The 25,739-nt window shown below is 36.2% G+C and overlaps 1 protein-coding gene across 17 annotated transcripts in view; it reads right to left on the bottom strand.

Annotated features, from left to right (window-relative positions):
* Positions 1-25,739, bottom strand: part of TBC1D19 (TBC1 domain family member 19) — a 282,243-nt gene that overhangs the window by 128,350 nt on the left and 128,154 nt on the right. For 11 of the 17 annotated variants that reach the window (XR_007057937.1, XR_001741277.2, XR_007057936.1 and 8 more), the window contains 2 exons: positions 12,553-12,637; positions 10,445-10,489 (listed from right to left, as the gene is read on the bottom strand). Coding sequence is in view for 8 of the 17 variants with exons in the window: in XM_047415904.1 (XP_047271860.1) it covers positions 10,445-10,489; positions 12,553-12,637 (130 nt within the window). In the remaining 9 variants the exon portion in view is untranslated. Of the gene's footprint in view, positions 1-1,507; positions 5,925-7,679; positions 7,720-10,444; positions 10,490-12,548; positions 12,638-14,256; positions 15,731-25,739 lie in introns of those variants that run through there. The other 6 variants (XR_007057940.1, XM_011513852.3, XR_007057939.1 and 3 more) reach the window with 6 other exon arrangements.

Raw genomic sequence — 25,739 nt, 5'->3', positions numbered from 1 at the left:
TTATGAGTCTAATTTATAACTTTTATATATTTTGACTTATGGTAGGTGGGCCTCTATTCGTACTTCTGCTCTGGGCCCTGCAAAGGTTGGAGAGAAACTTGCCTTCAACAATCAAGTGGGAACAATACCAATGAGGTGGTGAGGATTAAATATTATAATATATGCAATATGATTAGCACAATATTTGATACAAAGGCAGTACTTAAGAATTGTATTCCTTTCCCTATCTTACTGTCTTTTAATAATTTTTTATTTTTTTCTCTCCCAGTAGAATAAATCCTTTGAGCATGGGAACTGCTTTTTATTTATGTATCTCTATATCCAGAGACCAAGCACAGTGCCCAGAATATAACAGGTACTCATTAAATGCTTGCAGAATGAATATATGCATCTGTAGGGAGTCTACCTCTATCATTTTTTAACCTTTTATTTCCTTCCATACTGCCATGATCAGAATTCTGTCCCTAATAAACTCTTACCTATGGTTCTGTAAGAGCCTCCTAATTGGTATCCTTTCCTCCAAACTCTCAGTTCTCTAACCAGTTTTTGACATTAGAGAGCTCAAGTTATCTTTCAAAAATATTAATGAGACCATGAAAAAGTTCTCTACATCCACTGAGGACTTTCCACTATTTATCCATCTACCAAATATTTGCTGAGCTCCTACTCATCTAATTAACAAATATTTAAAAACCTACTCTGTAGCCTCTGGAGATATTAAAATAAATATGACATTGTCCCTGTATTTATAGAGCTCACACTCTAGCCTTATAATATAGGCTAAGTGTATACACAGTAAAATTCAAGACCTTTGATCTGGCCTTAAACATTCATGATTATGTCCTGCAACCTGAGCTACATCTGCCTCCCCCTTGGCATACTATCCTAACTCCATACTCTCCGTAGTATAGTCACACTAGATTATTTATCATCACCAGTATCCCTACAGTTTGATAGCTCTGAACTTGATAATTCTTTATTCTATTTAGCCATCAAAACCTTACTAAGGTCAGCTATAACCTCAGACAAACATTTCCTGATCTCTTAATCATAATTAAATGCTCATTCTTCTGCATTCTCATGGTACTTAGTTCATATTTCCAACACTATGATTTCACTCTGTTTTGTGTTATAATTAGCTGTTTAACAGGTTGTTCCTGAGGATAGGAAATATATTTTATTCATCTGAGTATACAACTCATGGTGCCACGTACATAGTTGATGATATACATCTTTGCAGAATGAAGAGATGAGTAAATCATAGGTACAGAAGCAGCAAGAGAAGTATTGGTCTCTAGTTAGGAGATCAAAGTTCAATTGTGGGCTTAACACAAACCAGCTGGGTAACCTTAGGAACGTCATCAAACCTGCTGAGCTTCAGTAACCTGCCTGACACACAAGGGGACTATGATTGCCTCTGATGTATTATCTAACTCTAAAATTAGATGTTAACAATTAAGTCTAGAGGAAATGCGAAAAAAATTGTGAGACTTGAAGAAAACAGTACCTATAAAGATTTTCCAACAGTAAGACTCTTTTCTTTTTTTCTTTTTTTGAGACGGAGTCTCGCTCTGTCGCCGAGGCTGAAGTGCAGTGACGCGATTTCGGCTCACTTCAAGCTCCGCCTCCCGGGTTCAGGCCATTCTCCTGCCTCAGCCTTCTGAGTAGCTGGGACTACAGGCGCCCGCCATCACGCCCGGCTAATTTTTTTTGTATTTTTAGTAGAGACGGGGTTTCACCATATTAGCCAGGATGGTCTCGATCTCCTGACCTCGTGATCCGCCCGCCTCAACCTCCCAAAGTGCTGGGATTACAGGCGTGAGCCACCACGCCCGGCCAATAGTAAGGCTCTTTAACAACTTAAAGGCCCTTTGCATTCTAGAAACTAAAAAAATTAAAAACCAGATTAGAAGGTCAATATTCCCAATGACACTATAGCCACCAGCTTCATTTCCAGGGACCATCTGGAAGGAGAGCTCAAAAAACATTTCTTTTTCAAGTCTTTCTCTATATTCTTTGGTTGAGTCTCTTTTTCTTCCGCCCATCTTTTTTTTACCTTCCTACTGCCTCTGCTGTTTCATGTTATTTCCTTTACTAATTATAAACTTTTAAAAAATAATTACAAAGTTTGTCTTTTCTAACTTTTCTTCAATAAACATGTTGACATGTGAAAGAAAAACTCAGAGAGAAAAATAAGTTAATAAATAGTAGGCATATTTTGATGCCTTATAAAAGTGTAAGTACATATTATATCTTTCTAAATACTAAATCTCAAAGCAGATTGCTATTATATAAAAACCTGACAGCCTTACTTAAAAAACACTTTTGCCTTCCTCTTTTAAGCCACTGCACTGCAGAAACATTTCAACAAGTGGCTAAGGTAGTCAGAAATGAAGACATTATTAATATTTTCATCTTATAAAAATACTTATTCAGGATCTGCTAAGTGTAAGAATACCCTAGTCAGGACAAGGCACTTTTAATAAGAAAGCTTACAATAAATTAATTAGTGAACTATGAAGCAGCAAAAAGGGATGCAAGTATTAAGATGAGTCATGTTTAACCACTTTTACTACATTTCCCCCAAGTTCTGAAATCTATAGCTTCTCTTTAAGTAGCTAGGATACAAGCTGTTTGAAGAAAGAACTGTATTTCATACTGTGTATTATCTTCAGCATCCAGCACAGTGTCTTCCACAAGTGAGATGCCCAGTAAATGTTAATGATGGAAATTTGAGCATTTATAAATATAATCAAGGCTTATAAATAAAATACTAAAATATAAAATTCATTTATAAATAAGTAAGATATAGAACAGAAGGCTTTTGATAACTCAATGTTGAAAGAACAAATGACCAAAGAAGTCATATAGACATGAATTTGAATCCTGTGTGACTCTGGGCAAGTTACGAACCCTTGCTGAAACCATATTTTCATTTCTGAAAATGGAGATAAACAAGATCAACTTCATTGGGTTGCACTACAAAGCACAACGGAGTTAATTTATTTAAAGTGTGCCAGTGTGGTGTTCAGTCCATAGCAGATGCTCAATAACCCATACCTATTTTATGCTCTCAGAAGGCAAAGTGCCACATTAACATATCAGCTTAAACCTAAGAAAATCTTTTTTTGTCAGTATCAGATAAAGGCACACTCAGCTTAGCCAAGATTAGTCTGGGCTTAAGGCTCCAAAAAAAGGCTACACAGTCCGCTTTGTTGAAGGACGAGTCAGATTCTGGTAAACAAAATCTGGAGGCATAAGAAGCAGTGAAGAATCCATTAACACTGTAGGGTGCATACTACCTAGAACATTTCTTTGATCTTAGAGGTTGTCATGTTCTTGGCTAGTTTTTCAAAATCCTTCCCTTTGCCTCTCATCACTTCAGCCTTTCAAGGGTCAAGTTTCATTCACCTGACTACCACCCAAGAGCATGTTTCCAGCAGGCGTCAGGATGCTTGGGGCACATCTCATAGCTGGCCTCAGAGTTCTTCTACAAGTCTGCTATAAGTAATTATTTTCAGATTCTAGCCTTTCCTTATGCATCTGAAGAAAGTCTAAAATATTAACTGCCTATTCCACTCAATGTGAATAATTTTATAAAGTGATGATTTATGGGCCTTTGACAAAGCTCAGAATGGCAAACATCGTTAACTAAAATAAATCTTGAACTAGATGAGATATAAATAGTAAATATGACTCAGAAAATACCCCAAATATTAACATGCTTTGCACTTATTAAATATTCTCTTCATTTCCTCATTGTCTCTATTAATACTTAGCATTTATCATTGTACCGTAACTCGCCTATCTGATTCACTTCAACTTCACTCCAGCTGAAAGCATATTATTACTTAGTACAGTTTATTTAATTCATTTGTTGAAGTAATCAATTCCTCTGTTTATTCTCATTCCATATGTAGCCTACAGGTCAGTAAGAATAGAGATTGGGACAATGATTAAATTGTTTTCTAGTTATTTCCATTATCTTTCTGAATTAGAATGTCACATTATGGTTTTGTTACTCTATTTCAGTAGTTAAAATTTCACAAAACATAGGAACATAACCACATTTAAATATCAATCTGAAAATCTTACTTTAAAATTTTAGTGAGGTTTTCACTGAAGTCTAAAGTTATACCTCAAATGAATTTTAGAATATGAGATAGTTTAAATTTATTTAATTAATATGGATGACAAACTACATTGCTATTTATTAATTTGACACTTGCAAGAAGATTTAAAATGATGTACTTTGATTATTTTTCTTCTAAGAGCCTTATCTAATCTTTGTTGTAAGGGGCTGTCCAGTGTACTGTAGGACGTTTATCAGCATCCCTCTCCCCTGGCTGACAACCAAAAATGTCTTCAGACATTGCCAAATGTTTCCTGATGTGTGTGTGTGTGTGTGTGTGTGTGTGTGTGTGTGTGTGTGTGTGTGTGTGTTGGGAGAATTGCCACTGGTTGAGAATTACTGCTCTAGAGTACTGAAACTCCCCTACCCAATATTCACTGACAATTGTTTTCTTCTGTCATGTAAGAAACAAATGGTATTAACAAATTTATGATGGTTGTTTATCACTTGTAATTAAGTCAGTCAGATACATGTGTATTTTTGCTACAAGTCTGGTTTCCTTGCTTCTATTCTTATTCCTCTGTATTCTATGTTCATTTTCTTATTTATTCCCTCACTTATTCAATAATGTTTACTGAGCACAGACTTTATGCCATGCATGATTCTAGGTGCTAGATATGTTGATCACCAAAACTATTAAGGTCCTTGTTCTCTTGGAGCTTACATTCTAGTGACACTTTTATTCTACACAGTAGACAGGATGATCGTTTAGAAGTATTAATCAGGGTTGGGCATGGTGGTTCATGCTTGTAATCCCAGAAATTTAGGAGGCTGAGGTGGGCGGATTGCTTGAGACCAGGTGTTCAAGACTAGCCTGGCAACATGGTAAAATCCTGTCTATATGAAAAATACAAAAAAATCAGCCCAGCATGGTGGTGTGCACCTGTAGTTCCAGCTACTTGGGAGGCTGAGGTGGGAGGATCACTTAAGCCCAGGAGGTCGAGGCTGCAGTAGTTCATTATCGGCCCACTGCATTCCAGCCTGGACGACAGAGCAAGACTTTGTCTTGGGGGGAGAAAAAAAGAAAAAAAGAAAAAGCATTAGTCAGGAATTGGAGGAGAGATGTCACTGAGAAGAGTGGAGTAGGAAACTCCCAAACTCCATTCCTCCATTAAAGCAATGGTTAAGCTGGCAGGAACTGTTAGAATCAACTTTTTTGAACTCTGGAATTTAATAAAAACTTACAACCACCAGGGGAATATTTAATGAAGAAAGAATTTTAGTAAGAGAGCATATGGCATTTTAATTTGCCCACCTACCATACCCTACTCCCCAACTTGGCAGCAGCCATGAAGACCATGGCTCACATTCCTGATGCAGATTGCTGGTACCAGGGGGATCTTGTATCAAAATATTGTGGTTGTGTGTTTTGACCTATATAGTAGCTAACTGCGGGACTGGCTCAGGAGATTGCCTTCATTTTATTTGCCTCATCTCTGGGCTTTTTCAGGACTGACATGGCCTGCCAAGAGGCATTTGTCAAAAGCATTTAAAGGAAAATATATACTAGCTGCAGCCACCTAGGAGAAGGAATAAAAGATGGGAGTGGTGGTATACAGATTGAAAAGCCTGGGAAGAAAGAGGCTGGGGTAGGAGCTACTTGGGGCATGAGGGCTTTGGAAAGCATCTGTGTATACAGGGGAATCTAAAACTTACCCAAGAAGACCTTAGGCTCCCACTTCTGACTGCCTTTGAGGCTCTGTGCAAGCAGGAAGTGAAGGCTAACATACAGTTGTAAACAGCCTGGCTAAGCCTTGAAGGAGTGCCCCAATACCCAGCCAATCTGCAAAGACTGAAAGAGGGGTTTTTATTTTTGGTTCTAGATATTTAAGAAAATCTCTGTCAAATCACTAGCTGACTGTTACTCTACTAAAATAAAGACTTCAGTGAGCATATAAGATGAAAAATATCTTTATAAAAATATCTGTATAAAATATCTTTATAAAAATATTTAGAAAAGTCACTAAACAACACCTAGAACCCACAACAAGCAACAACAATGAATTCTTGGGGAGGGGGACAGAAAGACTCCCATTTCCAGTGATACCACAGTATAATATTCAAATTATTCCATTTTCAACAATAAAACAATTACTAGGCATGTGAAGAAATAAAAAAGTATAACCCATTCACAGGAAAAAAAATAATAAAAAATCCCTGAGGAAGCACAGACATTGGACTTACTAGACAAGACTTTAAGTCAACTATCTCCCTAACTGACCTAGCTCCATCTACCTTTTCTAACTCACCTTGTATCAGTCAATGCTTTGCTCACTATTGCCAGTCACACTGGCCATCTTGGTGAGCTTCAGACTATCAAGCTTATTCCTGCCTTCAGACATGCTGTGTACTCTCTTCTGGAACGTTCTCCCATTTCATTGCATAGCATACTCCATATAGTCTGTCTCTGTTCATATTCCACCTCCTCAGAGGCACCTTTCCTGACTACTTGATCTAAAATGGCTATGCCCATCCCAACTTCCTACAATTTCTGCTCCCTTTCATTGTTAAGTTCATCATTCTTTGAAATTACTTTCATTCATTCATCCTTTGTTGATTGACTGATGATTGACTGATTTTATGTTCCCCTTACTAGAAGGTAAGCTCCTTGGCAGCAGGTACTTTGTTTGTATCATTTACTGTGGATCACCCTCCTACAACAGTGACCTAGGCTAAATAAATATTTATCAAATGAATAAAGACAATTTATATGTGTTGAATAACAACAAAAAATATAAAAAGCTTATAAAATTCTTCTGAGAAGTCTCCCTTAGTTCAGAAATTTTGCTCACTAGCTGTTTGGGGAATCTACTAGAGGAAATCTGTCCATTGGTGATTCTTCAAATGAAGTGAGAGAACAAAATGTCTGATGCCACCATAGCCTGTCATTTCCCTCCCAGGGAAGGTAATCACAGGCATGTTGGGGGTAGTGGTGAGAAAACCTCTGCCACCCTGTAAGCACTGGCCTGGTCAGGGAATGAGAGTGTGTCAGTGAGCTGCAGGCTAACCTCTATGTGTGGTCCCCTGAGACCAAGAAAGCCACAACAGTTTTGGTGGTAGTAGTGACAGAGGTGTCAAGATTTCAAAGTAATAATATCTTTGGCAGAGGTTCAAAACAGGGTGGGTAATATAAAAATGCTGCTAAGTATTGCCTTGAGTTAAAAAAAAAAGCGGGGGAGAGTAGATTGACTGGTCTTTGTCTCTTCTTGTTCTGAAACTTCAGAATCATTGCCCAGAGAAAAGTGTCCTCCTTGATTCTGGCAAGTTCTAAAACAACCTGAGAGGAGAAATGATTCTGTAGAACTAAATTTATGAACAGCTGTGGGCTTATCTCATTAAGGATTAAACAGTTTTCATTCTGGATGAAAATCTTTCTAGAACCTATCACATACATCCTCTACCTTTTTATTACATTAACTACTTTCCTTTCTTCCCAAATTCACTATAATGAGCTCAGCAACATCTTCTGAGGCAGTAGGGCATCCTGATAAGAATGTTGCTTCTGAAGCCAGACAGCTTGGATTCAAAGCTTGGCTTTGTCACTCACCTGTTGGGCAGGTTAACACTCTATGCCTCAGTTTCTTTATCTGTAAATAGGGATAATATTAGTACCTTCCTCATAGGTTCTTGTAAGGACTAAATGAATTAATATATGTCATATACTTAACACATTGCCTGGGATATAGTACTGCTTGGAAAATGTTTGCTGCTGCTGCTATAACTATACTGTTACAATTATTACTATAGCGAGATTTTTTTTGGTGTCTTGAGCTCATTATAAAGATGCTAAATTATAATATGCTGCAACTTAGTGATACCTTCTTAAAGGGCACAGTGTTACTAGCTTTTACATAAAATGGCCCCAGACTGATTTGCTGGAGTGGTCTAATACGCTGTTTTATAGCTCCTGTATTTTCCTTTGTGAAGTCTCCTTTTTACTTCTCACTGTTGTTGCTATTTTTTCATATCTATATCAGCCTTTTCCATGCTTCTATTTTTGTAGGAGGCATAAAAAAGAGTTAACCAATTTGTTAGACATGTGTGTTAAGTAAAAGCTAATATATTCTAAACTAAGTTGAAAAAACACTTCTATGGATGGAGAGAAGAACTTGAGTCCATGGACAACTCTTTTGGCTATTCAGAGGTATTTTGTTATTGTTTCTTGCTTCTTAGATAAAATATAAAAAGTTACTATAAAAGTAAGTTTCTGGGATAATAGATGTAACAATGGTAATATATAAAGTTAAAATTAACAAACCTCTAATTGAGTTCAAATAAATACTCATTACAGTCCTATTACATGCTAGATACTGAGGCAACAAAAATGAATGATATGGCTCTGAACTACAAGAAGCTTGCAATTAAGAGGAGGAGATAAAGTATAAACAAACAATATCAAGATAACATAGCTAGAGATACCAAAGAGTTTAGACCAGGTACTATGGGAGTCTAGAGGAAGGGCCCTTAGCCTAACCTGGGGATTCAGGGAAAGCTTCCTGAAAGAGGATCATGCCTAAACTGAGCTTGATGACAGCCAGGTGAAGAAAGGTTAGATGGGCTATTCTAAGCATGGAAACATGAGAAGTGATGAGACAGGAAGCAGCATAGTGCTTTCGTGAGAGTATGTAGCTGTGGGTATAAATAATAAATAGTTTGATATTGCTATAATTAAAAATGAGATGGGAAATAGTGGAAAATGAAGCTAGGAGGTAGACTATAGGGATCAGACTCAAGAGGTCCTCATATGTCATGCTGAGAAGCTTGAATATCACTTGTTAAGAGATGGGAAGCCATTAAGAACACTTTGAGAAAAATGGCAATTTGCAGATTTTCACTTTAGATGTATAACTCAAATGAGCAGTGTAAAAGACAGCAAAACTAGAAAAGACTGTGGGAAGAGGGACCAGTTAGATGGTTGTTGCAATTAACAAGCTAGAGATAGTAAGAACTGAAAGGAGACAAGGCAGCGGGGATGGTGTGGAAGAGAGGGTTCCAGACGTATTTGGAAGATAAAATTGGAAGGTCCTCGCGACTTATTAGATGAGTTGGGGACAAGGTGGAGAGAAATCTAGGATGGCCTTGAGTTACTAGGAAGATGACAATTCAATTAACTGAGAGAGAAATAGGTGGGTTTTTGTTTTTTGTTTTTTAATTTAGTTTCTTCTTTTTTCTTTTGGGGGTGGGCATAAGAAGATAAAACAGTGAGTTCAGGCTGGGACATATTAAGCTTTAGGTAGTTATGGGAGAGGTACGAACTGGATATATTTTAGAGTAATTAACAATAGATAGAATCATAAAAGCAAATGGCAGCCCCTAGATAAAAGTAAGAAAAGAGAAGAGCAGCAGAACAAGAGTGAGATATTAAAAGAGGGACAGAGGTAGATGGCCCATGAAACTGAGATTCCATATTGAGAGACACAGGGAGAGAACAGCGCCATGAAAGCCAAAGCCACGTATGAGTTTTAGATATAGTGATCAGTAAAGTTAAACACACTCATAACAGCTACATCTTCTGAGCACTCACTACATGTCAGGCACTTTGTGGTTTTATATACCATATCTCATGTAATCTATTATCCACATGGTACAGATGATGAACCTGAAGTTCAGAGAAGTCATGTAACTTACTTAAGGTCATAGGATAAGCTGGAAGAATTGGGATCTGAACCCAAGTCTGCTGGATTACAAAACCCATGTTCTTAACTCTGCTGGAGTAAAAGAACTTCTTCAGGATGCAACTTAATATTATCATAAGGACTGCTATATATTGCTTTTCCAAGAAGCATATCTTAAAACCTGTCTAGTTATCTCAAAAGAATATTTAATGTCTAATGAGGTCATTATATATTTGATCACTTTATAACATCAAAATAGGTGATTTCAGTGATACCTTTTAATAATATTTTTGTTTCATAAATACTACATTGGTCAAATTATGAGAACAATAAGGTGCAATACAAGATAATCCACTCAATTGAGTAAAGCCCAGCTCCAAAAAACCCAAAAGGAAGGTCTGCATTGGATTAGCTAGTGTTCTTCACAGGAAAATGAAGTGCCTTGGACTTAGATCTAAGCATACTCAGCTTTCTCACAGGTTTACTGTTGGTCCCAGGGAGAATCAGAGAGAGTATGCATAATTTAGCACAAACCTACCACAAATGTGGAGGATTTCATTAAATTATACATTCTATGGAAGGTTTATTTTAGATAATAAATGATTATCCATTAAAGAGAATAAGAAAGTCACATTTTGATTATAAAAGTTGTAATTTTTTCACTTCCCACTAGAGGAAGCAATAGCATTACTCTTACCATTTGGTGGGTAAAAGACAGCATATTCTTCCAGTCCTAGTTTTCCTATAAGAGAAAACCATAGAGGATTTCAATATGATTAAGTAAATAAATCTTTAAAAATCAACTTATTTTGTGAATGTACTAACAACGGAATTTTAAAAACTACTATAAACTGATATGTCATTTCATGATATGAAATTAACTTAAAAATGTACCAGCCAATCTTTTGGTATTAGCAAACCCTTTCATCAATTAAAGTAACACGAACATAAGTACAACAGAAGCGACACAAAACAACCAAAAGAACAAACGCTTTCAAGTTCCTTAGGCACTTAAGAAGAGAAGTATCTATTTATTATGCATAAAATTGTTTTGCTAATTACAAATAAGTCTAATCTATTCATTAAAGCAAGTCTTAAGCTTTGTAATACTGTGTGTACACTTTTATGGAATGTGCTGAAAGTTAAAAATTAAATGACTAGCTGTATGGTGGTCATATTTTCTGAATACCAAAACAGTTCACATGATTTCAGAATGGGGCTGAATATTTGAAATCAGAGTTGTCCCAGAAAAGTAAAGTATATTCACAATAGTCAAATATTTAAGAGAGTTTTAAAAAGTATCTTTCCTTTAAAACTCTTAAAAGTTCTCAGTTTTTTCCACCTTCCACTGAATATCTTTAAATAGCTTTTACTTTGACAGTTTTTCTAACACTTTTGAGTTTATTGAAAAGTCACTTGTATTTTTATACTGGGCTAAGAGTAATATTTTTAGTTAAAAAAAGTTCTTTTTATTCTTGTTAGGGGTGGTGACAGAGACGAAATGAAGAATAAGAAGTGTGAGCAGTTCAGGTTAGGGTGGAAACAAAAAGGATTGATCTTGTGAGCAAGAAGAGAATGGAATAATGAATAGGTAGGTAGGTAAGTAGATAAAATTGATTACTGGGCTAGATGCTGAGAGGCAAACATATATATGTTCTCTCAACCATGTGGTTTATAGTCCAGACTAAACCATGAAACATTAGGGTATATTTGCTAACTTTTCTAGCACAGACTTTAAGTGTTTAGAAGTTCAGAGGAGAGAGAAATAGATGATGGGTTGGTGGACATGGTGAGGTACTGGCTAGTTCTTCAAGGACCTATGATTTTTAAGGTTGGAAAGTGGGAAGCCTTCCACATGCAGGGACTATAGGGAGGCTAGAACGAATATGGGGTATTGTGGAATAATCAGGGAAGCAAAGTTAGTTAGGTTAGGACAGTATCAACTGGTCAAAGGCCTTAAAATCCTGGCTGAGTTTAGAGGTGAGCTCAGTAGATAATTCAGTTTACAATCAGTTTTTCAGCAGAAGACTTAAAGAAACAAACAAAAGGTTTCCATAAATTCAATTTAGAAGCAATGGACCTAAGAAAACCTTATGTTAGGGGTAGCTGAAATCCAGCACAAGGTTATGTGGCCTCTCCTAGGGTAGGAGGTGGAGCAATCAGGCAGATAGTTCAGACATAAGAGATACAGGAGAAAGTTTCTTTCTTCATGGAAATGGCAGAATGACCATACACAATGAAGTCTGAGCTTTCAGTGTTGGGTGTTCACCATTTAATAAAAAGGAAAAGTTGGGAAGGGCATTCAGCTGAAGTTAATTGTATCTTCAGATGATGGCAGGATATTGATATTTTATAAGCAGCTGGTGATAAAGAGGAGAAAAATAACTAAACTAGACATTGGAGAGCTAAAAGCATATAAATTGTATCAAAGTTTTGTGTGTGGTGGAGCGTTTTGAGAGAAGTATAGATTGTTAAAAAAAGTAGAAAAAGCAAATCTGTGTTATAAACTTAGAAAGAAAAAGAAAAGTCAACAGATATGACATAAAAACAACAATAAAGGGTAGAGCACACAGGGAAGACAGAGAAAGTAACTTGAAATGCTGCTTCTGGGAACCACTTTCCCGTGATTTGTGATAAATTACTTGGGCACTGATTTGAGGTATGAAAGGATAATTACGGTCATCTGAGAGAAATCTTAAGTAATTTATAATAATTTGGCAACACCACTATCTCCAAAAATAAAACAAATATTCTTGGCATGATTATGTAAGTCTTAATACTTCCTTAAAATTATTAAAAATTTACCTCTTATGTATGATTTTGGTGGCGAGGCACTGTTGAATGCAAAGTGACTCAACACAGATGTATCCCGGGAAAAACAAAGTAATACCTGAATATAACATTGGAAAAAAAATAGCAATTAAGCACTATTATAAAACCAGGTAATTCATTATTTCCTACTCAGGAGGCATCCTTCAAGTTCAAGTACCGTGCCTTGCGGTGGGAAGAATGCCCTTTATCGGTATACCTTTGGTAAGCATTACAGTGGGATGCCAAATTCTTCCAAAGAGTTCTCACCATTTGCTACCTCAACTTTGAAGAGCAGAAAATGCAAACTGCTAACTAACAGTTGACTCTTCTCTTGTGTTTTCTATCTGGACAAGAGAAGCACCTGGGGGAAATTTAACAGATGAAAAATGTATGGAGAAGACCCTGAGTAACTATTGTGACATAGAGCAATTTGGGAAGTGCAGGAAATGAACTTGACTCATACTGGGATGCATCACGCAGTTAGGCATGTCAGGGTGGGAGGGAAGGCAACTCGTGGTACTTAGAAAGGACAGCAGCAGCAGTAGAACAAGTGGTTGCCTAATAAAGGGTAGAAGCTAGCTGTCCTGACCAGTAGGGTAGAGTATGTCAACTCTATGTGGAGATGAAAATAGGCACAGTAGAAAGTCAGGATCAAGGATGTCCATTAGGAGGTACTAGATTGAGGACACCAGCCTGGAATTTGGGAGCAGCAGTCCAAGACCCAGTAAGGCCATTAGTGACAGGAAATCTGGGTCTCAGTATTAGAAGACCTGGGATTCTAAAAATATTACCAAGAAAAGAACTCAAGATGACTGAAAAGGCAGAACAGGTGCACAGAGTCAGGCTGAACTAGCAGCAAGAGTGAAGGGAGAGGAAAAATCCTTGTGTCCAAGACACAAGAAAGGGGATACAGCTTTGGAAAAAAGGATAGGTAATGGAGATTGGGAATCAGTCAGGTTCACTGGTGGAATGCATATCAACCACTGCCACTGCTTTGTTTTCATTATATTTTAAATGACTACATAAGTGGTACATGTTAATGACAAATTTAGAAATACAGAGTATTGGCTGGGCATGGTAGCTCATGCCTATGATCCCAGCACTTTGGGAGGCCAAGGCAGGAGGATCACTTGAGCCCAGGAGTTCAAAACCAGCCTGATCAACATGGTGAAACCTCATCTCTGTTTAAAAAAAAAAGATTAATTTTAAAAATAAAGAAATACAGATGATAAACAAAAGGGGAAACAGCCATAATCCCATCAGTCTTAATAATTTGAGGTATATCCTTTCAGACTGCTTTTTAACATACTCATACATATAATTTTTTCAAACCAAACAGGATTATATGTAGTTTCTTTTCACTATTGTAAGATAAATATTTCTTACACATTTTTATGTTGCAGAATATTCCACTGTATGAAAGAACAATAATTTATTTAACCTGTACTGTTGTTGAACATTTAATTATTTCCACTTTTCCCCAACTACAAACAACACTAGAGTGAATTTACTTATGACTAAATATGTACGCCTTTAGTTATTTAAATTCCAAAAACTGGACCACCTGTCTGGTCAATTGCTTTGGGCATTTTTAATTGAACGATGCCTCTCCCACATTTTCTTTATTTACTTCTACCTGACTCCTGTAAGCTGTAAGATTTACCTACACGTATTCAACCTGCCATGCCTTTTACTTACTTTTATCCCCCCTGTTCCATTCTGGATGACTTCCTCAGATTATTTTTTAGTCAGTTCACTAATTCTCTTCTTCTGCCCCTACTATGCACCAGGCACTGTTCCTTGTGTTTGGAATACATAAAAGGAAACAAACAAAACACCTCTTTTATGGAGTTTAATTATGATGGAGCAGAATGTGTGTAACAAATAGCAAATATGATAGATAATTACATTATATAGTGTATTAGGTAGCAAGTGCTATGGAAACAAGATAAAGGGGAACAGAGAAAGAGTGGGTGACACTTTAAAGAGGCTGTTCAGTGTAGGCTTCCTTGAGAAGGTGATATCTAATCAAAGATTGAAAGGAGTTGAGAAACTTAGCATGCGGATATATGTGCAAAAGCATTCCAGGAGACTTGTTAGGAGACTATTGACAGTGGCTTTCACTAAGATGGCAGCAGTGTGTGGCAGATGTATGACACACCACCCAGAGATCCTCCTCTAGGAATGAAGGACTAACTATAGCAGCTGGTAGTGCTGTAGCAAATAGCCCTCAGCAGCCAGCTCTTTTCATGGACTACCTCTGCTGGAGAGAGCTATTTTGCTCAAATATCAAGGTCACACCCTTTTCCTGAAATGGCCTATATCTGATGAAGAGGATGCAAGGGAAAAAGGTCTGAAATGCTTGTCCCCAGCTCAGGATGGGTCTGACAGTTTATTCCATCTTTAGAACTCTCTGCAGCATTGGCTGAGGGTTTCATTTAAACTGTATTGCAGCTAGAATTGTCCTTATGCTCAATCCTGCTTCATTAACTGCACTTATACATGTGTTGATTCCAAGAGCACTCGCTAATAATCCTTTGGTATCCTCGTCTCCATCTAAATTGGCTTCCCTGGGAACCCATCTTACAATACAGTGAAAGTGGGGAAAAGTCAGATTCTAAATACACTGTGACGGCAGGGCCAACGGGAGTTACTGATAGATTGAGATGATATTTTGGAGAAAGACAGCAGTCAAGGAGAGTAACATGTGGAAGTTGAAGGTAGAAGGATGTTTGATCTCAGCGAGTGGAACACCTTTAACTGAGACAGGGAAAGTGGCAGGCAGAACAGTTTGGGGAGTGAGATCATGGGTTCATTTTTCAACATGCTAAATTTGAGATGTCTGCAAGACATCTAAATGGAAAAATTGAAGAGGTAATTGGAGATACTTGTATGGAGTATAGAAGAAAAGTTTAAACTGAAGATACAAATTTGAGAGTTATCAACATATAGATGGTAGTGAAAGCCACAAAATAGGTGAGCTTGGTGGAATCATCAAGTGAGTGAGTGTAACTAGAGAAAAGAAGACCAAGAACTGAGACTTGAGGCATTCTAGGATATTGGAGAAAAGAGAAGGAACCAGCCTAGACAACTGAGTAGTGAGTAACCATCAAAGGTGGATTTACCATGATGCTCTGTGAGTGCTGCAAGTTGCTGGGAGACGCAGAGTGTCCTAGGCAAGGAAAGTAAGTCAGTGTGTAATCAGAAAGCATTTCTATGTATGCATTTCTAGAAACTGTTTCTAGAAAAGGTAAACTGTTTAATAAGATCTCAGAAGAAAAACACCTGAATCTCTATAGTTCTAATAATCTGTTACAAATTTTTCCTCATTCAAAACAAAAATATGTGTTCTTATCTGGTTTTGTATTTATAATATGATATTCTTTTTCTTAAAGAAGGCCTTCCAAATTTTATAAGCTTTAGGTCCGCAAAATGCTGAATTTGCCACTGGTGACTAGAAAAGTAAGAGGAAAACTAAAAAGAATGTGGTGTCTTGAAACCCAAGTGAAGAAACAGCAAAAATGAATCAAATGCTGTTGAGAGATTAGTTAAAAGGAGGATGGATAATTGGTCATTGGGTTTAGTTCTTGATGACCTTGACGAGAGTAGTTTCAGTTCAAGTGGTAGGAGCACCATACACAATGTTTGGTACCTGCTTCTTAAAACAACATGGCACATGTATACATATGTAACTAACCTGCACGTTGTGCACATGTACCCTAAAACTTAAAGTATAATAAAAAAAAAGAAAAAACAAACAAACAATGCATTAAAGAGATCTTTTCATATCAGTATATACAGAGCTGCCTCATTCTTTTTAATTTTTTTGGTAGAGACAGGGTCTAATTATGTTGCCCAGGCTGGTCTTGAACTCTTGAGCTCAAGTAATCCTCCTGCCTCAGCCTTCCAAAGTGCTGGGATTACAGGCGTGAGCCACTGTGCTTGACCCGCTGCATTCATTTTTAAAGGGCTGTATCATGTTTCACTGAATATGTACTCCATGATTCATTTAATGGGTTACTCCCCAATATATGAACATTCATTTTCAACTTTATGCTGTTTCTGACAATACCAAAACAATTAGCCTTTTACTGTATCATTTTACACATATGAGTGTCTCTGTGGAACAAATACATAGGAATAGAATTGCCCAGTCAGAGAGTATACACATTGAAAAATGTGATGGCTATTTGGCTGTATATTTATATCCCTTGTGTTCTTTTTCCAGCATTTCTATATGTTTACAGTCTAAAAGGGAGCTGTGTGAACAAGCCCAATACCTTATGTTGCCTAACTCTATTTTCTATTACATAGTCTAAATCATTATTACTCATATTTAAAAGAGTAAGGGATTTTAATATTTTATTCAGTAAAGAGGCAGTTAACTGAATCATCTTATTAGTTCTACTGGCTTTCAGTCCAATCCCTTGAATTTTTAAATAACTATAGTTAACAATAATGTTGTGTCCTTTCTGTTATTTATTATTTTATTTTTCTTATTCCATTGTTGAGAAATTCCAAAATGATATGTTCTTTCCTTCCTTTAGTGGGAACATCTCTAGTATTTCACTAATGAGTAACATTAACTTACATTAATATTGCAAATGTTGGTTTCAGATAAATACTATTATGTCAAGAAAATATATTAATACTTGATTTCTAGTGTATAAAAAGTATAAAAATGAATATTAAGTTGCAAAACAATGTGAATATACTTAACAGTGCTAAACTGTACCCTTAGAAATGGTTAAGTGGTCAATTTTATGTTGTGATTTGTTTTACTACAACTGAATACTTTTTAAAAATCGATATTATCAAATATGGTCTCAAATAAATTTTTGGCGTCTATTAAGATAATCATGTGAATTTTTTTTGACCTATTAATATAATAAATATTTTCCAATAATTAAGAAAAACCATTAGGCTCTAAAAATTCTAAATTTATAAATATTAATCTCTTCTCCTGCCAAACTTTCACATACCACTGTGGTAGGTAGCATAATGGCCCCCGAAGATGTCCACATCCTAATCCCTGAAATTTGTGTGCTACCAGTTTGGATATGGTTTTTTCCTGTGAAAACTCCTGTTGAAATATGATTCCCAATGTGGTAGTGTTGGGAGATGGGCCTAGTGGGAGGTGTCTGGGTCATGTGGGCAGATCCTTTATGAATAGATTAATGTATCTCTGTGGGACAGGACTAGCTGCCATGAAAGCAGGTTGCTCCTTCTCATGTTTGGTCTCTTTGTATATACCTGCTTACCCTTCCATTTTGTGCCATGAGTTGAAGCAGCATAAGACCTTCACTAGATAGGCTGTTCAATCTTAGACTTTCCAGCCACCAGAATCATGAGCCAAATAAGCCTCTTTTCTTTATAAATTACCTAGCCTCAGGTATTCTGGTATAGTCACACAAAATGTGACTTATGTGACAAATGGGATTATGCAGATGTGATTAAATAGAAGATTTTTAAATGGGGAGATTATTTAGGATTGTCTGGCTGGGCCCAATGTAACCAAGGATTCTTATACATGAAAGAGAGAAGCAGCAGGGTCAAAGTCAGAAAGAGATGTGATGATGCTCTCTGCTGGCTTTGAAGACAGAGGAAGGGGACACAAGCCAAGGAATACACTAGGTTCTATAAAGGGCACTCTAGGTTCTATAAATGGCAAGAAAAACCCAGATTCTCCTCTGGAGCATCCACAAGTAACACAGCCCTGCCAATGCCTTGATTCAAGCCCAATGAAACCAATTTCAAACTCAACTAAATTTATGGCAGCAATAATAAACTAATAGAACCAATCAACAAATACAACAATAAACATATATAATTAGGGTAAAATAATACAACAAGAAAATATACTTACAAACAACTTTCTACTATTGCCTAGAGGAAAAACAATTCCTAAAGAAACATTTGTATTAACTTTCCCTTAGTTTAGCAGACTCGTAGAAGCACAGTAATTTTAGAAGAAGCTCTATGATTAAATATATCTCCCTAGAGTCCCTGTTGCCCTAGAGAAGACAAGCTATCTGAGACTGCTCTAAGGAGAATATTGGCGATTGTAAGGTGATAATGCCAGAAGTGGTATGTTAGACAGTACGTACTGGTGTGCAATCCTGTGATACAAGCAAAGAGCTGCCAACTCTTATTCTAACCTGAGTTGTTTTAACTTCTGAGATTCTAATTTTTGTATCTGTATGGAAATGACAGTTCAATTGTAAATCTGCTAGAAAATGGTATGATTATATGAAGATGACAATTTCAATCAAATTAACTAGAAAATCTAACCTGGATTAATTACCAATTAAGTAAAAATTAAACTTCATCAGGATGAAGCTACACATGATAGTAATTTACTTCATTTAGAAGAGTTATAAGAAACTGAATGTGTAAGTCTGAACTATGCTAATACGGCAGAATTATACCTAAAATGTCTACATATAGCCACAAAAGATTTAGTTTGTCCTAAAGCTTTCTCTTACTTCTAGAAAATATATTTATGGTAAATGTTTCTGAGAAATAAATTATTTTTATAATAAAAAGCACATAAGAAATGACATATAAATTGGGCAATCACTTTAACGTAAAACTATTATAAAATTTTTTTCATTTGTGATACTCTTACATTTTTATCCAAATTTAGAAAATTTCAAATGATAAATTTTCAAGAATCACTTTTTAAAACACTCTGCCCTCACCTGTCAAAAACAAGCAATGGGGAAAGGATTCCCTATTTAATAAATGGTGCTGGGAAAACTGGCTAGCCATATGTAGAAAGCTGAAACTGGATCCCTTCCTTACACCTTATGCAAAAATTAATTCAAGATGGATTAAAGACTTAAATGTGAGACCTAAAACCGTAAAAACCCTAGAAGAAAACCTAGGCAATACCATGACATAGACATGGGCAAGGACTTCATGTCTAAAACGCCAAAAGCAATGGCAACAAAAGCCAAAACTGACAAATGGGATCTAATTAAACTAAAGAGCTTCTGCACAGCAAAAGAAACCACCATCAGAGTGAACAGGCAACCTACAGAATGGGAGAAAATTTTTGCAACCTACTCATCTGACAAAGGGCTAACATCCAGAATCTACAAAGAACTCAAACAAACTTACAAGAAAAAACAAACAACCCCATCAAAACGTGGGCGAAGGATATGAACAGACACTTCTCAAAAGAAGACATTTAGGCAGCCAAAACACACATGAAAAAATGCTCATCATCACTGCCATCAGAAAAATGCAAATCAAAACCACAATGAGATACCATCTCACACCAGTTAGAATGAGGATCATTAAAAAGTCAGGAAACAACAGGTGCTGGAGAGGATGTGGAGATAGGAACAGTTTTACACTGTTGGTGGGACTGTAAACTAGTTCAACCATTGTGGAAGTCGGTGTGGTGATTCCTCAGGGATCTAGAACTAGAAATACCATTTGACCCAGCCATCCCATTACTGGGTATATACCCAAAGGATTATAAATCATGCTGCTATAAAGACACATGCACACGTATGTTTATTGAGGCATTATACACAATAGCAAAGACTTGGAACCAACCCAAATGTCCAACAATGATAGACCGGATTAAGAAAATGTGGCACATACACACCATGGAATACTATGCAGCCATAAAAAATGATGAGTTCATGTCCTTTGTAGGGACATGGATGAAGCTAGAAACCATCATTCTCAGCAAACTATCACAAGGACAAAAAACCAAACACCGCATGTTCTCACTCATAGGTGGGAATTGAACAATGAGAACACATGGACACAGGAAGGGGAACATCACACACTGGGGACTGTTGTGGGGTTGGGGGAGAGGGGAGGGATAGCATTAGGAGATATACCTAATGCTAAATGACGAGTTAATGGGTGCAGCACACCAACATGGCACATGTATACATATGTAACAAACCTGCACATTGTGCACATGTGCCCTAAAACTTAAAGTATAATAAAAAATAAAAAAAAACACTCTGCCCTGATACAAATTTTCAAAAAATAAAGGGCAATGTGGCTTACTAGCTTTGAAAATAGACACCCCTGGCTTGGGGTCCTGATAGCTGTATGGGCTTGGGATCTAAGCCTCTGCTTCTTCATCTATAAAAGGCGAATAAAACTACCTCCTAGGGTTGTTGTAAGAATCATCTATAAAGTGGATTCTGGGAAGATGGTGCAGTAGGAAGCACCAAGAATCTGTTTCCCCACCTAGACAAAAATTGCACTGGCAGCTACTGTCTGCTGTAATTATTTTAGAACTCTGGAGTCTACTGAAGTCTTGCAACTTTTAGGAGAAAGCTTGGATGGTAAATTTCAGTTAATTTTGATCAATGTCAGCTTCTAGCATAGCCGCATATATGCATCACCCACCCCAATCCCCTCAACAGGCAGGAATGCATGAGTCCCAGGAACAGCTTACAAGCAGCTTAAAGGACCCAGAAAGGGAAAAAAGCACCCCATCCTCCAAATGTCTGGTATCTGTACTCTGATTGCTTCTTCTGACCAGAGAGGTGCAAACAAAGAAGTAAGGGTGAAGATCGGAGGAAGGAAACACTGTTGTTGAACTTCCCTTGATTGTTGCAAGCCCCTTCCCCTCTGGCTGAAGTAACTTTCAGAAGATTTAAAGGAACAATGCTCTCCCTCCTCTTCATTTTCTCTTTTATTCCCTTTGGGAGCCAGATGTTAAAGACTAGGTCATTCAAAAACAACTGTGTATAAGGGGGAAATTAGAAAGTGACCACATGCGCTCAATGAAAAGTGAAGGCTAAGAAAAGTCCCAAGATGTTAGATTTATACCTCAGGCTGATCCTGGGCAGAAGGAGAACAAACAACATTCAAAAAAACTAAAACTAAAACAATAACAACAACAACAAAAACGCTGGGAAGAAAAAGAATCTGATTTCCAGAGATTCCCCATTATTAGATTTATATGTCCCTTTTTCAACAACAACAACAAGATCACAAATAATACAAAGAACTTGAAACATATGGCCCATTTAAAGGGCCAAAAAAAAAAAAATTGACAACTGTCCTTGAAAAAGACCTGATGGCAGATTTGCTATAGAAAGACTTTAAAACAACTGTCCATAGATTCTCAAAAAACTAAATAAATGTGGAGAAAATCAAGAAAAAATATATGAACAAAACAGAAACATCAATAAAGAGATAGCAAACCAAAAAAGAAACCAAAAGGAAATTATGGAGCTGGAAGGTATAATACTAAAATAAAAACTCAGTAGAGGGATTCAAAGGCAGATTTGAGCAGGTAGAAGAAAGAATCAGCAAACTTGAAGATAGGGAAATGGAAATAATTGAGGCTGTGAAACAGAAAGGAAAAAAAATTGAAGTTAACAGAGCCATAGGAACTTATGGGACACCATCAAGCCAACCGATATGCAAGGTAGGAGTCTCAGAAAGATGAGAGAAATTGAGGAAGGGGTAGAGAGAATATTTGAAGAAATAATGGCTGAAAATTTCCCAAATTTGATGAAAGACATTAATATAAACATCCAAGAAACTCAATAAACTCCATGTAAGATGAATTCAAAGAGTCCCACACTAGGACACATTATAATCAAACTGTTGAAGGTCAAAGGCAAAGAGAGAACTTTGAAAGCTGCAAGACAGTAATGACTCATTAAATATAAAGGATCCTCTATACAATTATTAGCAGATTTCTCATCAGAAACTTGAGGACCACAAGCAATGGGCTGACATATTCAATGTGGTAAAAGAAAAAAGCCATTAATCAAGAATGCCATATCCAGCAAACTGTCCTTCAAAAGTGAGAGAGATATTCAGACTTTTTCACATAAATGAATGCTGAGACCTGACCTTCAAGAAATGCTCACAGGAGTCCTACAGAGTAAAATGAAAAGATACAAGACAGTAACTAGACTCTGAGTGAAGAAAGATCTTTAAAAAACACACATGGGCAGTTATAAAAATAATACTATTGTAACAAAGGTTTGTAACTCCATTTTTTGCTTTCTGTATGATTTAAGAAACTCGTACATTTGAAAAGTCATTATTTAAAAATCAGTATTATTGTAACTTTGGATTGCAACTCCACATTTTGTTTTCTACATAATTTCTGGGTTTGTGTACGCACTGTACACAGATGTAACATTCTGATATCATCAAGTGAAAGGGGTGAGGATAGAGCCGTAAAGTAATACAAATTTTGTATGTTACTAAAGTTAAATTGGTATTAATTTAAACTAGAGTGTTACAATTTTAGGTTGTTAAATATAATCCTCACGGGAAGCACAAAGAAAATAGCTGTGGAATATACACAAAAGAGAAGAGAAAATGAGAAAGAAATGTAAACATTTCACTACACACACACACAAAAACCCCAACTAAACCCAAAAGAAGACAGCAATACAGAAAATGAGAGGCATAAAAGCTATAAGACACATAGAAAACAAATAGAAAAATGAGAGAAATATCTCCTCATCAGCAATTACTTTAAATGTAAATGCATTCAACTCTCCAATCAAAAGACAGGTTGGCAGAATAAATTTAAAAAGACAAAACTACATGTGATCTATAAGAGATTCATTTTAGATCTAAAGACATAAATATATTAAAAGTTAAAGGACAGAAAAAGACCCTCCATGCAAATAGTAACCAAAAGAGAGCAAGGTGACTGTACTTATATCACACAAAATAGACTTTAAATAAAAGAGGTTATGGGAGACAGAAAGACATTATATATTAACAAAAGTTTCAATACAGCAAGAAGATACAACAGCTATAAACATTTATGTACCTACAACAGACTTGAAAATGTATGAAGCAAAAACTAACAAAAAATGAAAGGAGATATAGACAATTCTAGTGTAACAGTGGACTTCAATATCCTATTCTCAATGATGGATAGAACCACTAGACAGGAAATAAGGAAATGAAGTATTTACATGATAAACCAACTAGAGTATTTACATGATAAACCAACTAGATCTAACAATATACTGAACACTTTACCCAAGAACTACAGCATACACATTCCATGTAAATGCACATGGGACATTTTCCAGATAGATCATATATTAGGTCACTAATTAAGTTTCAATAGATTTTTAAAAAACAGAGATGATACAAAGTAGCTTCTCTGACCACAGAGATGGAGGTAGAAATCAGTCACAGAAGGAAAACTGGAAAATTTACAAATCTATGGAAATTAAACAACACAGTCTTAAACAGCCAATGGATTAAAGAAGAAATTATAAGAGAAATTAGAAATACTTAGAGACAAATGGCAAAACCATGACATATCAAAACTTACGGGATTCAGTGAGAGTGATGTTAAGTGGCAAATTTATAGCTATAGAGGCTTAGATTAAAAAACAAGAAAGGTTTCAAATCAACAGCCAACTTTGCAACTTCAGGAACTGGAAAAAATGGGCAAACTAGGCTAGAAGCTAGCAGAAGAAAGAAAATAAAATAATAAAAAGTAGAGCAGAGATAAATGAAATGGAGAATAGGAAAACAATAGAGATAATAACTGAAACCAAAGTTGGCTTTTCAAAAAGTTCAACAAAATTAACAAACCTTGAGCTAGAAGGACTAAGAAAAAAGAGAGAAGACTCAAATTATTAAAATAAGAAATGAAACTGCGAATATTACCACTGACTCTAAAGAAATAAAAAGGATTATAAGAGAGTACTATGACCAATTGTACACCAACAAATTGGATAACCTGGATAAAATGAACAAATTTCTAGAAACACAAAGTCAACCAAGACTAAATCACAAAGAAATAGAAAATCTGAACAGACCTGTAACTAGTAAAAATATTCATCAATAATCAAAACTCTGACAAAGAAAAGCCTTGGTCCTGATGGCTTCACTGGTTAATTCTACTAAACATTTAAAGAAGAGCTAACACCAATGTTTCTCAAACTTTTCAAAAAATTGATCTGGGCATGGTGATGTGCAACTATAGTCCCAGATACTCAGAGAGTTGAGGCAAGAGAATTGCTTGAGGCCAGGAGTCCAAGGGTACAGTGCATGTGCTATGATCAAGCCTGTGAACAGTCACTGTACTCCAGCCTGGGCAACATAGGGAGATCCTGTCTTTCAAACAAACAAACAAACAAAACAAAACAAAACAAAAACTTTCCCACACAATTAAAAAATAGAAAACACTTCTTAATTCATTCTGTGAGGCCAGTATTACCTTGATACCAACACCAAAGACCCTACGAGAAACCCCAAATAGCCAAAACAATGTTGAAAAAAGAAGAACATATCTGGAAGATTCCTATTTCTTCCAGATTTAAAAACTTCCTAGAAAGCTATAATAATCAAAACAGTGTGCTATTGGCATAAAGACAGATGTACAGACAAACAGAATAGAACAGAACTAGAAATAAAACCTTGAATATACGGTCAAATGATTTACAACAAGGGTTTGTGCTTGTCCTTTCTCCCATTACCATTCAATGGGAGAAAGTGCAGTCTTCCAACAAATGGTGCTAGGAAAACTGGATATCTATATGCAAAAGAATGAAGCTGGGCCTTTATCTAACACCATATCCAAAAATTAAGTCAAAATGGATTAAAGACCTGAATGCAAGTTCTAAAACTATAAAACTCATAGAAGAAAACATAGTGCAAAATCTTCACAACATTGGATTTGGTGATCTCTTGGATACAATACCAAAGGCACAGATGATAACAACAAAAATTAGGCAAACTGGACTTCATGAAAATTTTAAAATTTTGTGCATCAAAAGACACTATCAACAGAGTAAAAAGTCAACTCACAAATGGGAGAAAATATTTACAAATCACATTTTCAGTAAGACATTAATAACCAGAATATTTACAGATCTCTTAAGACTCAACAATAACAACAACAACAACAAAAAAAAACAAGTTGATCCAAAAATGGCCAAAGGACTTCAATAGACATTTTTTTCCTGAGTAGATATATAAATGGTTAATGAGCACAAGAAAAGATGCTCAATATCATTAATCATTAGGGAAATGCAAATGAAAACTATAATAAGATAACATCATTTCATACCCATTAGGATGGCTACTATCAAAAAAAGAGAAAGTAACATGTTGGCGATGATGTGGAGTAACTGGAAACTTTGTACACTATTGTTGGAATATAAAATGGTATAGTCACTGTGGAAAACAGTATGACACTTCCT

This window comes from Homo sapiens, chromosome 4 (genome assembly GCF_000001405.40).
Source record: "Homo sapiens chromosome 4, GRCh38.p14 Primary Assembly".
NCBI lineage: Eukaryota > Metazoa > Chordata > Mammalia > Primates > Hominidae > Homo > Homo sapiens.
Note: the sequence above shows the minus strand (reverse complement) of the source record. Positions and strands in the feature narration are given on the sequence as shown.